Consider the following 14608-nt stretch of genomic DNA (forward strand, 5'->3'; position numbering starts at 1 on the left):
CCCACCCATGCCATATACACAAGGGATTATTAGTTCAAATTGTATGCCTAAAACAGGGTGACCGCCCTCCATCATCTGCACTGCAAAGTTACCCACAGCCTTCATCACAAGCAACCTCTGACCTCATGGAGAACAATGACTCTAGCATTAATGTGTGAATCTAAGACTTAGGACACAATATACATGTGGTTGGGAAGCTTTCCCTGATAACCAATTTATGTGTTCATGAAAAATACAGAAATGAAGAAGGCAAGGTCCCTACCCCAGGGATCATAAAGCCTAAGACACAAGATAGGACCTTAAAAGTAATTATAAACTCCGGCCCTGGACCCTACAGCCACCAAGATGTTAATGCCTAAGAAGAGTCGGATTGCCATTTATGAACTTTTTTTTTTTTTTTTTTTTTTTGAGACAGAGTCTGACTCTGTCGCCCAGGCTGGAGTGCAGTGGAGTGATCTGGGCTCACGGCAAGCTCCGCCTCCCAGGTTCACGCCATTCTCCCTCCTCAGCCTCCCGAGTAGCTGGGACTACAGGCGCCCGCCACCACGCTCGGCTAATTTTGTTTTTGTATTTTTAGTAGAGACGGGGTTTCACTGTGTTAGCCAGGATGATCTCGATCTCCTGACCTCGAGATCCACCTGCCTTGGCCTCCCAAAGTACTGGGATTACAGGTGTGAGCCACGGCGCCCAGCCATGAACTCCTTTTTAAGGAAGGAGTCACGGTGGCTAAGAAGGATGTCCACATGCCTAAGCACCCGGAGCTGGCAGACAAGAATGTGCCCAACCTTCATGTCATGAAGGCCATGCAGTCTCTCAAGTCCTGAGACTACGTGAAGGAACAGTTTGCCTGGAGACATTTCTACTGGTACCTTACCAATGAAGGCATCCAGTATCTCCGTGATTATCTTCATCTGCCCCTGGAGATTGTGCCTGCCACCCTACGCCACAACCGTCCAGAGACTGGCAGGCCTCCGCCTAAAGGTCTGGAGGGTGAGCCACCTGCAAGACTCAAAAGAGAGGAAACCGACAGAGATACCTACAGACGGAGTGCTGTGCCCCCTGGTGCCGACAAGAAAACCGAGGCTGGGGCCGGGTCAGCAACCAAATTCCAGTTTAGAGGCGGATTTGGATGTGGACGTGGTCAACCACCTCAGAAAAATTGGAGAGGATTATTTTGCATTGAATAAACCTACAGCCAAAAAGAAAAAAAAAGTAATTATAATACCAAAATAGAACAAAATGAATGCCACAAGAATTCAGATAAATCTGATGGGAAATACAGCCACACATTGGAATCACAGGGAAACATTTTTTAAAAATGGATGCTGAAGCCCTCACTCCCCATACCTTCTGATTTAGTGGTCTGGCGTGGGACCCAGGCATTGATAATTTTTAAGCTTCCCCAGATGCTACTAATGTGTAACCAGGATGGTGAACTCTCCTGTTTAAATAGGTAGGACGTAGGGCTAAATTAATGGTTTTTAGCTAGATGACCTAGGGAGGTTTTTCAACATACATAAGCCTATACTTTGTTGGCCATATTTGTTAATGGGCTACACCGAGAACTCAGTAATCCAGTTAAGAAACACAAGCTAAATGGAAAAGCCACTTTATTTGATATGTTAAATTATATGGGAAGCATTGTCAAATGATAAGTTTGTGAGGTCATCAACTTCTTGTCCTGGTTTGCAGTTAAGTGCCTCTAGTTATGGTGTCAAATATTTTGGTGAGCTCTGAGTGGCCCATACCTCAGACATGAAGGTTTTCCCATGAAATTTACATTGAGTTGTCCCCCTCCAGCTTATAGGGCTTCAGGAACACAGCAGATCTTGTTCTTACTGATTCCATAGGAGAAATTGGGTTGGAGAAACTAGAAGAATTCAGGGTCCAGTCCAGTCTACAGGTGGATTATAAAAACTCAAAAACAATGAACAGAGCTGAAATCTCATAAAAGTTGTGCTACAGTTTTTCTTCTCAACATAATTTTTCTCTCTATGGGCATCTCTATTTCTACCAAAGATAATACCACTAAGGCAAATTTGTTTGCAAAATAGATTGAGTCTCATCAAACTTGGCGTGTATTCTCAATGTTAATTTATGGGTATGTTACTGATATGAGTCTTCCAAAAATTATATGAGATTCATAGAAATCTAATATCAGTCATAATGTCATATGCCACAGAAGCAACTAGATTTCTATATGAGCCATGTCTTTATCTTAATGAACGCTCATCAGATTTTTAACCATAGTTATTTTAAATCTGTCATTCATAGACAGTTGTTTTGATTCTTCCTCAAAGTATTTCCAATCAGCTACAGTCCAAAATTGCTTCTTGCTTCAAGGAGATTTACAGAAAAGGCTCTGACAAGGATTCTTTAATACAAGTTTTTGATGAATTTAAGATACCACTGGACTGTCTAAGAACTTCCAAGTTCTTCTGATACCTTCATGAAATTGCCAGCCAAGACCAAGCAGGAAAAAACTCAATTTCATTGGACTAAATAATAATAATGATGAGAATGTTTTTATGATTTTTTGTTTGGAGTTTTGCTGATTCTTTAAGTGGTTTGTTTTCCAGATTTATGGAATTTTTTCTTTTAACCAATCTATAGCACACAGTAATTTGACAAAGTATACTTTTGTGAACAAAAATTGAAGCATTTACTTTTGCTCCCTACCTGACTGCCTTAGAATTGGGCAACTATTCATGAGTATTCATATGTTTATGGTAATACAGATATTTGCTTAAGTTCAATAAATATCTGCTCTCTTTATAACAGGATACATTTGAAAACATTGGTTATATTACCAAGGCTTTGACTGGGATATTACATTTGAAAATATAAATAGAATGAAACCACAGATACTGCAGGCAAGTGTAAAGTAAGCCTTGGTTTGGCTTCCTGGTCTCAAGAGGTTTTTGAAAGTTTAATCTGAGATTCCTTATAAAAAATATCCAGCAAAGCAAAGTTTAAGAAGAGCCTATGTGATCCATTACAACTCTTTCTGCACTTAATGTAAAGGCCAAGTTTGATGAGACTCAATCTATTTTGCAAACAAATTTGCCTTAGTGGTATTATCTTTGGTAGAAATAGAGATGCCCATAGAGAGAAAAATTATGTTGAGAAGAAAAACTGTAGCACAACTTTTATGAGATTTCAGCTCTGTTCATTGTTTTTGAGTTTTTATAATCCACCTGTAGACTGGACTGGACCCTGAATTCTTCTAGTTTCTCCAACCCAATTTCTCCTATGGAATCAGTAAGAACAAGATCTGCTGTGTTCCTGAAGCCCTATAAGCTGGAGGGGGACAACTCAATGTAAATTTCATGGGAAAACCTTCATGTCTGAGGTATGGGCCACTCAGAGCTCACCAAAATATTTGACACCATAACTAGAGGCACTTAACTGCAAACCAGGACAAGAAGTTGATGACCTCACACTGTGGACAGCTTTTCCCAAGATGTCAAAACAAGACTCCCCTTCCTGATGAGGCTCTTGCCCCTCTTAATTTGTCCTTGCTCATGTCTGCCTCTTTTTCTTGGTGAGATAATGCTGTCATTAGAATTTCACAAGAAGTATCTTCTGAGGGTAGCTTAACAGAGTGTTGAATCTGGGATGAATTCATTCCCTTATTTCCACATAACATAAGAGATCCTTTAGTCTACCCAATGGCTGACATTAGCAGCATCTTTTTTTTCCTTCAGCAATAACCACTTTTAATGATTTAGTGTATATTTTTATAATCATAAATTTTACTTGTTTGAACAGGTAATGCATTAACAGTACAAATTTCAACAGGTAGAAAAGCGTATACTGAAAGTGTCCCTCATAACACCTATCCCTCCTCCATCCTATCACCTGGTTTCCCTCTGCAGAGGCAACCAGGAATATCTGTTTCTTATGTCTTATCCAGACATATTCTATGTGTTAGGTTGGTGCAAAAGCAATTGCGGTTTTGCCCGTACTTTTAATGGCAAAAACCACAATTACTTTTGCACCAACCTAATATTTACAAGCACATTGGAAGGCAGCTATGCTCCCCACTATACCACCAACACATCTTATAAGCACATTGGTCTAGTCTTTCTTCTTTTTTTCAAAAGTAAATGGTAAACATTTGAGGCACACTGTTTGCATCTGGCTTCTTCATTTAACAATACATCTTGCAGGTCATTCCACATCAGGATATAAAAAATCTCTTAGTCTTTTAACAGCTGTATACTTGTCTTAGTCCATTTTATGTTGCTATAGCAAAATACCTGAGACTGGGTAGCTTATAAAGAAAACAGGTTTATATGGCTTATGATTCTGGTGGCTGTAAAGTTCAAAATTGGGCATCTGCCTCTGGTGAGAGCCTCAGGCTCATTAGCAGCATCTTTAACACAGCTGTTTTTTCAGATGTACAGTGGTCCCTTTTAGACTTTAGACCTTCAGACTCACCTGTTCTCACTCCCTGTTTAATTTAACCCAGCCATGGGATGCTAGTTAATAAATTGGCCACTACTAGCTGAACAGGAAGGAGTCTGTGCAGTTTCTGACACTTCTTGTTGCACATGGATAAATACGTCGGATATTATAGAGACTTAGTTGCAAAAATTAACAAATGTGCTGCTTGGTTAAAATGGCTAGGCTCTTCTGGCTCACTCTTTGATGTGTTCTATTTTAGTTGGTTTGCATCTTGCCTAAGGTGCATATTCCAAACTCTTGGTATTATCTTCCTGATAGTCATATTAGTAGTCTCCTGGTGTGTTGTATTCTGTTGTATTCTCCAAAAGTTTTTAAATGTTTGCATGCAGCCATCCATTGAATATCAAATAGTGTCTCTTTGGCTGGAGTTACAAAAACTCAAAGAAATGTGTGATCAGGAGGACATTATAACCTATGAATGATGGAAGCCCAAAATGATGGTGATAGAAAGGATTGCTAATGTCTTAAGTTCTGGTCCCTTAGTGAGGTCCTAGAGACTCCAAAACAGAGCCACTCATGCTAAATGCTACATACTCCGACTGAAATTTTAAGGAAGCAGACAGATTCCAAAACAGACCATTTTTTTTTCTGAGAACAGGAGATTCCAGTCTACCTGAGTCAGCATAATAAGGAAGTCACCTCTGCTTTAACTTTTACAAAAAAAGTGACCTGAAGTACATTGATGTTAACCAATCCATTTCTTTTTTTTTTTAACTTCTTAAATGCACAAATTTATTTTTTCTCAACAAACACACATCTTAATGCCTTTACAACTTTTATCTCCCCAAATATATCTTGCTTTTCTTTATACATGCTGTATACAGAGTTGTTTTCCTTATATTTAGTAGTTATTGCTTTTTTGTGCCCTTTTGGGTCCTGAATTTACACATCAGGCATAGAGCTTGGGACAGGAAAGAGCTGTGAAGCAAATTCCTGGAAGATCAAACCCCTTCCAGCATGGCCAGGTAGCACAGCTGAGCCAGGGATGATGGGGCCATATTGGGTTTGGCTCTGCCTTGCAGCTGGCAGTCCAAACACTGAGGACATGCATATTTCTGCGGGCCTCACTATGGTCATCTGTCCAAACCCCAGAATCCAGAGACTCAAAACGAAATACAGTCATACAGTAAGATATGTGCAAGGTTTCAGGGAGCCCAGCAGCCAGACCTTACAGCTTTAGCTCAATTTAGACAAATCAAGCAAGTTTAAGAAATATTCCAGAAGTAGCAGTTTTATGATCTTAAAACATGTAATAGGCTGGGCACGGTGGCCCACGCCTGTAATCCCAGCACTTTGGGAGGCCAAGGTGGGCAGATCACTTGAGGTCAGGAGTTCGAGACCAGCCTGGCCAACATGGTGAAATCCTGTTTCTACTACAAATACAAAAATTAGCCAAGTATGGTGGCATACACCTGTAGTTTAGCTATTCGGAAGGCTGAGGCAGGAGAATCACTTGAACCTGGGAGACAGAAGTTGTGGTGAGCTGAGATCTCACCACTGCACTCCAGCCTGGGCAATGAGAGCAAAACTCCAGCTCAAAAACAAAAAACAAATTAAAAAAAAAAAAAAAAAGTAATGGAGACAATGTAAACCTGTGTGTCAGTAGACCCAGGAAAAAACAATTATATTTAACTGACAATCCTGAAGCCTTTCCAATTTTCTTTTTTCTTTTTTTTTTTTTTATTGATCATTCTTGGGTGTTTCTCGCAGAGGGGGATTTGGCAGGGTCATAGGACAATAGTGAAGGGAAGGTCAGCAGATAAACAAGTGAACAAAGGTCTCTGGCTTTCCTAGGCAGAGGACCCTGCGGCCTTCCACAGTGTTTGTGTCCCTGGGTACTTGAGATTAGGGAGTGGTGATGACTCTTAACGAGCATGCTGCCTTCAAGCATCTGTTTAACAAAGCACATCTTGCACCGCCCTTAATCCATTCAACCCTGAGTGGACACAGCACATGTTTCAGAGAGCACAGGGTTGGGGGTAAGGTCACAGATCAAGAGGATCCCAAGGCAGAAGAATTTTTCTTAGTACAGAACAAAATGAAAAGTCTCCCATGTCTACCTCTTTCTACACAGACACAGCAACCATCCGATTTCTCAATCTTCTCCCCACCTTTCCCCCCTTTCTATTCCACAAAACCACCATTGTCATCATGGCCCGTTCTCAATGAGCTGTTGAGTACACCTCCCAGACGGGGTGGTGGCCGGGCAGAGGGGCTCCTCACTTCCCAGTAGGGGCGGCCGGGCAGAGGCGCCCCTCACCTCCCGGACAGGGCGGCTGGCCGGGCGGGGGGCTCACCCCCCCGCCTCCCTCCCGGATGGGGCGGCTGGCAGGGTTGGGGGCTGACCTCCCCGCCTCCCTCCCGGATAGGGTGGCTGGCCGGGCGGGGGCCTGACCCCCCCACCTCCCTCCCGGACGGGGCGGCTGGCCAGGCAGAGGGGCTCCTCTCTTCCCAGTAGGGGCGGCTGGGCAGAGGCGCCCCTCACCTCCCGGACGGGGCGGCTGGCCAGGCAGGGGGCTGACCCCCCGCCTCCCTCCCGGACGGGGCGGCTAACCAATCCATTTCTATGGCTCTGTTTACTGGTTCTCATTTGACAAAATCCACTGTTCTGTTATTGTATTGCCCAGGGGGAGCTATCACTGTATTTATAGAATGAGTTCTGCCCCAAATCATGAATCACAATTAAAAGCCAATTTGATCTGGCCGGGTGCGGTGGCTCACGCCTGTAAACCCAGCACTTTGGGAGGCTGAGGCAGGTGGACCACAAGGTCAGGAGATCGAGACCATCCTGGCTAACATGGTGAAACCCTGTCTCTACTAAAAATACAAAAAAAAAAAAAAAAAAAAATTAGCCGGGCATGGTGGTAGGTGCCTCCCAGCTACTCAGGAGGCTGAGGCAGGAGAATGGTGTGAACCTGGGAGGCGGAGCTTGCAGTGAGCTGAGATCGTGCCACTGCACTCCAGCCTGGGCGACAAAGCGAGACTCTGTCTCAGGAAAAAAAAAGCGCCAATTAGATTTGTAACTAAATTAATTATAGATCTATAGTAATTTTGTCTTTCGATGCACGTTCACAGCCAGCGATGGCCAATGGTGTCTCTCACGCTGCATCATTCTCACCCTGACCCTCCTGCCTCCCTCTTTCACTTACAAGTACCCTTATGATACACTGGGCCCACTGAGATAATCCAGAATAACCTTCCCATCTCAAGATTCTTAACCTCATCACATCTTCAAAGTCTTTTTGCCAAATATAGTAACATGCACTGGTTCCAGGGGTCAGGATGTGGACATTTTTAGGAGGCCATGATTCTGTGTAACACACGTACCCTTCATGAACATCAACTACAACAAAAATTAGCTTTACCTTCCTTCTGTGTCTCACTTTTCTGACTGTGCATAAACTTTAAGATGAAACACAGTAGTTCTGCTATGAACTGGCTGGATGACCATGGACCACTGACTTAAATTCCCTCAGCTTCTTCTCCTCTGCGGTAGAATGTGACTCTTTTTTTTTTTTTTTTTACTTTTTTTATTTTCTTTTTTTTATTATTATACTTTAAGTTCTGGGATACATGTGCAGAACGTGCAGGTTTGCTACTTAAATTCCCTCAGCTTCTTCTCATCTGCAGTAGAAGGTGACTCTTTTTTTTTTTTTTTTACTTTTTCTTTTCTTTTTTTAAAATTATACTTTAAGTTCTGGGATACATGTGCAGAACATGCAGGTTTGTTACGTAGGTATACATGTGCCATGGTGGTTTGCTGCACCCATCAATCGATCACCTACATTAGGTATTTCTCTTAATGCTATCCCTCTCTTAGTCCGCCATCCCCCAACAGGCCCCGGTGTGTGATGTTCCCCTCCCTGTGTCCATGTGTTCTCATTGTTCAACCCCCACTTACGAGTTAGAACATGTGGTGTTTGGTTTTCTGTTCCTGTGTTAGTTTGCCAAGAATAATGGCTTCAAGCTTCATCCATGTCCCTTCAAAGACATGAACTCATCCTTTTTTATGGCTGTGTTGTATTCCATGGTATATATGTGCCACATTTTCTTTATCCAGTCTATCATTGATGGGCATTTGGGTTGGTTCCAAGTCTTTGCTATTGTAAATAGTGCTGCAATAAACATATGTGTCCATGTGTCTTTATGGTAGAATAATTTATAATCCTTTGAGTATATACCCAGTAATGGAATTACTGAGTCAAGTGGTATTTCTTGTTCTAGATCCTTGAGGAATTGCCACATTGTCTTCCATAATGGTTGAACTAATTTACACTCCTACCAACAGTGTAAACATGTTCCTATTTCTCCACATCCTCTCCAGCATCTGTTTCCTGACTTTTTAATGATTGCCATCCTAACTGGCATGAGATGGTATCTCATTGTGATTTTGATTTGCATTTCTCTAATGACCAGTGATGATGAGCTTTTTTCCATATGTTTGTTGGTCAATAAATGTCTTCTTTTGAGAAGTGCCTGTTCATATCCTTCTCCCACTTTTTGATGGGGATGTTTGTTTTTTCTTGTAAATTTGTTTAAGTTCCTTGTAGATTCTGGATATTAGTCCTTTGTCGGATGGATTGATTGTAAAAATTTTCTCCTATTCTGTAGGTTGCCTGTTCACTCTGATGGTAGTTTCTTTTGCTGTGCAGAAGCTTTTTGGTTTAATTAGATCCCATTGGTCATTTCTGGCTTTTGTTGCCATTGCTTTTGGTGTTTTAGTCATGAAGTCTTTGCCCATGCCTACGTCCTGAATGGTATTGCCTAGGTTTTCTTCTAGGGTTTTGATGGTTTTAGGCCTATGTTTAACTCTTTAATCCATCTTGAGTTAATTTCTGTATAACGTGTAAGGAAGGGGTCCAGTGTCAGTTTTCTGCATATGGCTAGCCAGTTTTCCCAATGCCATTTATTAAATAGGGAATCCTTTCCCCATTGCTTGTTTTTGTCAGGTTTGTCATGGTTGTAGATGTGTGGTGTTACTTCTGAGGCCTCTGTTCTGTTCCATTGGTCTATATATCTGTTTTGGTACCAGTACAATTTTTTTTTGGTTACTGTAGCCTTGTAGTAAGTTTGAAGTCAGGTAGCATGATGCCTCCAGCTTTGTTCTTTTTGCTTACAATCGTCTTGGCTATACGGGCTCTTTTTTGGTTCCATATGAAATTTAAAGTAGTTTTTTCTGAGAAGAAAGTCAATGGTAGCTTGATGGGGATAGCATTGAATCTATACATTACTTTGGGCAGTATGGCCATTTTCACGATATTGATTCTTCCTATCCACGAGCATGGAATGTTTCTCCATTTGTTTGTGTCTTCTCTTATTTCCTTGAGCAGTGGTTTGTAGTTTTCTTTGAAGAGGTCCTTCACATCCCTTGTAAGTTGTATTCCTAGGTATTTTATTCACTTTGTAGCAATTGTGAATGGGAGTTCACTCATGATTTGGCTCTCTGTTTGCCTGTTATTGGTGTGTGGGAATGCTTGTGATTTTTGCATATTGATTTTGTATCCTGAGACTTTGCTGAGGTTGGTTATCAGCTTAAGGAGATTTTGGGCTGAGATGATGGGGTTTTCTAAATATACTATCATGCCATTTACAAACAGAGACAATTTGACTTCCTCTTTTCCTGTATGAATACCCTTTATTTCTTTCTCTTGCCTGATTGCCCTGGCCAGAACTTCCAATACTATGTTGAATAAGAGTGGTGAGAGAGGGCGTCCTTGTCTTGTGCTGGTTTTCAAAGGGAATGCTTCCAGCTTTTGCCCATTCAGTATGATATTGGCTGTGGGTTTGTCATAAATAGCTCTTATTATTTTGAGACATATTCCATCAACACCTAGTTTATTGAGAGTTTTTAGCATCAAGGGGTGTTGAATTTTATCGAAAGCCTTTTCTGCATCTATTGAGATAATCTGTGGTTCTTGTCATGGGTTTTGTTTATGTAATGGATTATGTGTATTGATTTGCATATGTTGAATGAGCCTTGTATCCCAGGGATGAAGCCGACTTGATCGTGGTGGATAAGCTTTTTGATGTGCTGCTGGATTCGGTTTGGCAATATTTTATTGAGGATTTTTGCATCGATGTTCATCAGGGATATTGGCCTGAAATTTTCTTTTTTGGTTGTGTCTCTGCCAGGTTTTGGTATCAGGATGATGCTGGCCTCATAAAATGAGTTAGGGAGGAGTCCCTGTTTTTCTATTGCTTGGAATAGTTTCAGAAGGAATGGTATCAGCTCCTCTTTGTACCTCTGGCAGAATTTGGCTGTGAATCCATCTGGTCCTGGGCTTTTTTTGCTTAGTAGGCTATTAACTACTGCCTCAATTTCAGAACTTGTTATTGGTCTCTTCAGGGATTCGACTTCTTCCTGGTTTAGACTTGGGAGGGTGTATGTGTCCAGGAATTTATCCATTTCTTCTAGTACCTTTTTAAACTAAAAACATATTTTACTTTTTATAATATACTTTGCATATAGGGTTGTTTTGTCTATATCTGTTTTAATCACATAGTGTGATTACATAATAAGCTCCTAGTAACCCTTTGATATGGTTTGGATCTGTGTCTTTGCCCAAATCTCATATCAAATTGTAATCTCCAATGCTGGAGGTGGGGCCTGGTGAGAGGTGATTGAAATATGGGGGAGGTCTCTCATGATATAACATCATTGCCCTTGGTGCTGCCATAATGATTGAGAATTCTTGTGAGATCTGATTGTTTAACCATGTGTAGCACCTCCCCCTTGCTCTCTTCTTCCTGCCTCCATCATGTGAGATGCCTTGCTCCCTCTTTGCCTTCCTGCATTGTAAGTTTTCTGAGGCCTCCTCAGAAGCAGAGCAGGTGCCAGAATTATGCTTCCTATACAGCCTGCCAAACCATGGGTGAATTCAACCTCTTTTCTTTTTCTTTTTTCTTTCTTTTTCTTTTTTTTTTTTTTTTTTGACACGGAGTCTCACTCTGTCACCCAGGCTGGAGTGCAGTGGCATGACGTCAGCTCACTGCAAGCTCTGCCTCGTGGGTTCACTCCATTCTCCTGCCTCAGCCTCCCGAGTAGTTGGGACTATAGGTGCCCACCACCATGCCCGGCTAATTTTTTGTATTTTTAGTAGAGACGGGGTTTCACCGTGTTAGCCAGGATGGTCTCGATCTCTTGACCTTGTGATCCGCCCGCCTCAGTCTCCCAAAGTGCTGGGATTACAGGCGTGAGCCACCATGCCTGGCCTCAACCTCTTTTCTTTATAAATTACCCAGTCTCACATATTTCTTGGTAGCAACATGGGAACAGACTAATACACCCTTATATTCAGTAGAACAAACTAGAAAGTAAGCAGTTCTAACTATGTACCTGATGTGAAGCTCAGGACAAAAAACAGAGCTATGAAGATAATGCCTGGAATCTCTCCCAGCACGGCCAAGAGGCATAGCTGGGACATGGACTGGCTTTGCTGTGGTTACATCACTTGAACTCAGAATCTAAGAGCTCAAATCTAAAGACATAAGCCTACAGACAAATTAAGGAAATGTATATATGCAGAGCAGCTGTTTGAAGACCTTAAGACATCTAGTAGACATTATAAACCTGTCTGCCAACAGACCCAGGCACAAATATCTAAATTAAATTCTGAAGACATTTCTACTTTATTTTACCAATAATTTAAAAACTATCTTTATTTAAAGATTACTAAAATTGCATGAACTGAAAAGCATTTGTGCTTATTTACTTTATTTATGTGTACTCATTTATCTTTACATTAAATTGATACCATGTGTAAACTATATACAAACATATGGATAGACATATACATATATGTAATGTAACATATTGCATATACATCTACCCATAAAGATAAAGGGTGACAAAAAGACTGTAGGGTTTTAATTTTAGGACTTTAATCATGGGATGGGTAAAACTCACTATTTTAAAAGGACAGTTGGATTCAAATTGTGCCTTTGTAAATGAAAAAGGTAACATTTATCTGAAGAAGCCCTTACTGAGTTTTAGAAAAAATGGGTAGCAAATTTACCTCTCAAAACACAGAAAGGGATAGAATTTAAGCTTTTACAAGAAGGACTTTGGATGTGTTCAAGAAAGGTTAAAAATAGATGCTAAGGTAACACAAAAAAGATAGAAATTTACCATAAGATTTTATAAGGAAACTAATTTTATTTTAATAGGTAGCTTTAATTTGGTCTCTGTTTACCAACTGGACCACTGAGCTCAGGACAGAGCCCATTAAAGAAGAGGGATGACAAAGTCTTTGCAATTTTTAGATCCTAATAATTTAAATATGTGAAAAGAAGACACAATTGGAAGGGAGAGGACCTAGACCTTTAAAAATCAAGGATTTCACTGAATCCCAGGTCCCCAAGAAGAGTAAAATGCCATGGGAACCATAATGTGCAACACTTCCACAGTTTACTTTGCTACAAAGGCATTTTTTTCATTGTTTGAACTGTGTCTTTCTTATCTAAACATGCAAAGATATAAGTAGTCTTCTGAAGTAGTATTCATTTATTATAACCACTGTTAGTCACCTCCAAAACCATAGATTTACCACTGACCCAGCAGCCAGCACACACACAAGATGAAGTATTTGTACAGTACAAAGTAATCGCTGATGACCCTAAAAGCCAGAGGTCAGGTAACACAACAGAAAACAGAGCAGGGTTTTAGACCAGAAAGGAATCCATTCACTCGCAACTCTTGGGGTTCCATGTGGAAAAACACAGAATCTTCCCAAACAGAAAAGTCTGTGGCATCTTTCCTGTTTTTCCTAAGTGGTCCCAGGCTGTTCAGAATTCTTTAGGTCCCTTCGTGTGGCATCAATGGTAGCAAGAGGGAGATAAAGAGAGGAATGAATAAAAGAACAATTGTTAAGAAAGGAACAGAGAGACTAAGCACATGATTTAAAATGATTCCAGTCACCTGAAAAAAAAAATTCAAGAAACAAATAAGAAAAGCAGAAAAGTGAAGCAGCATCATTGTCTGGGGTAAATTCCCAAGATATATTGTCTCATGGCCACAGAAAACTAGGTTTAGAGTGGAAGTTTAATAGGTGAAAGAAAGAGAAGAACTCTCTGCAGCAGAGAGTGGTCCTGGAGAAATGGGTTGCTGCTTCTGTGGTGAAAAGCAGCAGGTTTTATAGATGAGCTTGAGGAGGTGGTGTCTGATTTACGAAGGGCATGAGATATTAGTCAGACCAGGTGTTCCATTTGCATAAGGTGCAAAAAGCTGGTTAGGGCTAGGTGTGCCATTTGCATAGGGTGTGAAAATCTGGCCGCCCCCACCCTAATCTTTTATTATGCAGATGGGTTTTCTACCTGACTGGCACCATGTTGCCAGTTTCTTTACCGTACATGTGGTGAAAAAAGGAAAGATGGAACCTCCATGTAGAACATGTCTGCCCCCCACCCACCGGTAGCTCCTTTCTATTGGCACAGCTGCTGGCATTCACCTGTGCAAGATTCCAGCTTGCTTATCTATTTCTGCAGTTCGATTTTTCAGGCTGCTCTTTGTTAGAAAAGAAATGATTTGGGGGCTGCTTTTTTATTGAAAGGGAAATTTCACCAAGGACTCTGTTGCTTTTACTATCTGCCTAAATATCTTCTTTCTATCTCCTGTATCATATTTCCCCCCTTAGGAGTAGTAACCCTAACTGCTGTTAAGGGGTGTTGGACAATGACTCTTTCTGGCTATTTCCTGCTGAAAAGGGGTGTAGTGTGGGAAACAACAGTTAAGTCTCCTCCTGAGGTCAATCTAAGTGTCCTCAGAAGAGATGCACGTCCATGTGTGGTTCCATTGTGTGCCGCACCATTTGGAGTTTAATAGCTTCTAGATGAGAAGAGATAAATGTTACAAGATGGTTTAGAGTATAGAATTTGAATATGAGTATTAAGATTATCATTATTAGTTGGGGTACTACAGGCCACAACCATGACAGTAGAGTTTGATACCTGTTAGCTGTTCCGATGGGTTGTAATACTGATTTCCTCCACCAGATGTCACTGCACCTCACCAGAAGTGTTAATATAGAAACTTTTTTTTTTGGATAAGTGGCATTGGATTGGGTGTTGGGAGTAACTTTAGTGTTAACTTTGGCTAAATCTTTTCTGTAATGATTAGTCCTGCTATAAAGATGATAATTAA

The 14608-nt window shown here is 41.0% G+C and overlaps 1 pseudogene, besides 1 other annotated feature; it reads left to right on the forward strand.

Moving 5' to 3' along the window:
- On the forward strand, window positions 319–1202 carry RPS10P28 (ribosomal protein S10 pseudogene 28; annotated as a pseudogene).
- Window positions 6132–6725: an enhancer, noted in NCBI's record as "NANOG-H3K27ac hESC enhancer chr19:43179943-43180536 (GRCh37/hg19 assembly coordinates)". NCBI's record gives its function as "activates a minimal SCP1, AML or CMV promoter by ChIP-STARR-seq in primed H9 embryonic stem cells {active_cell/tissue: H9 hESC(primed)}" and the evidence as "EXISTENCE:reporter gene assay evidence [ECO:0000049][PMID:30033119]".

The sequence above is a fragment of the Homo sapiens genome, chromosome 19, assembly GCF_000001405.40.
Source record: "Homo sapiens chromosome 19, GRCh38.p14 Primary Assembly".
NCBI classification, from domain to species: domain Eukaryota; kingdom Metazoa; phylum Chordata; class Mammalia; order Primates; family Hominidae; genus Homo; species Homo sapiens.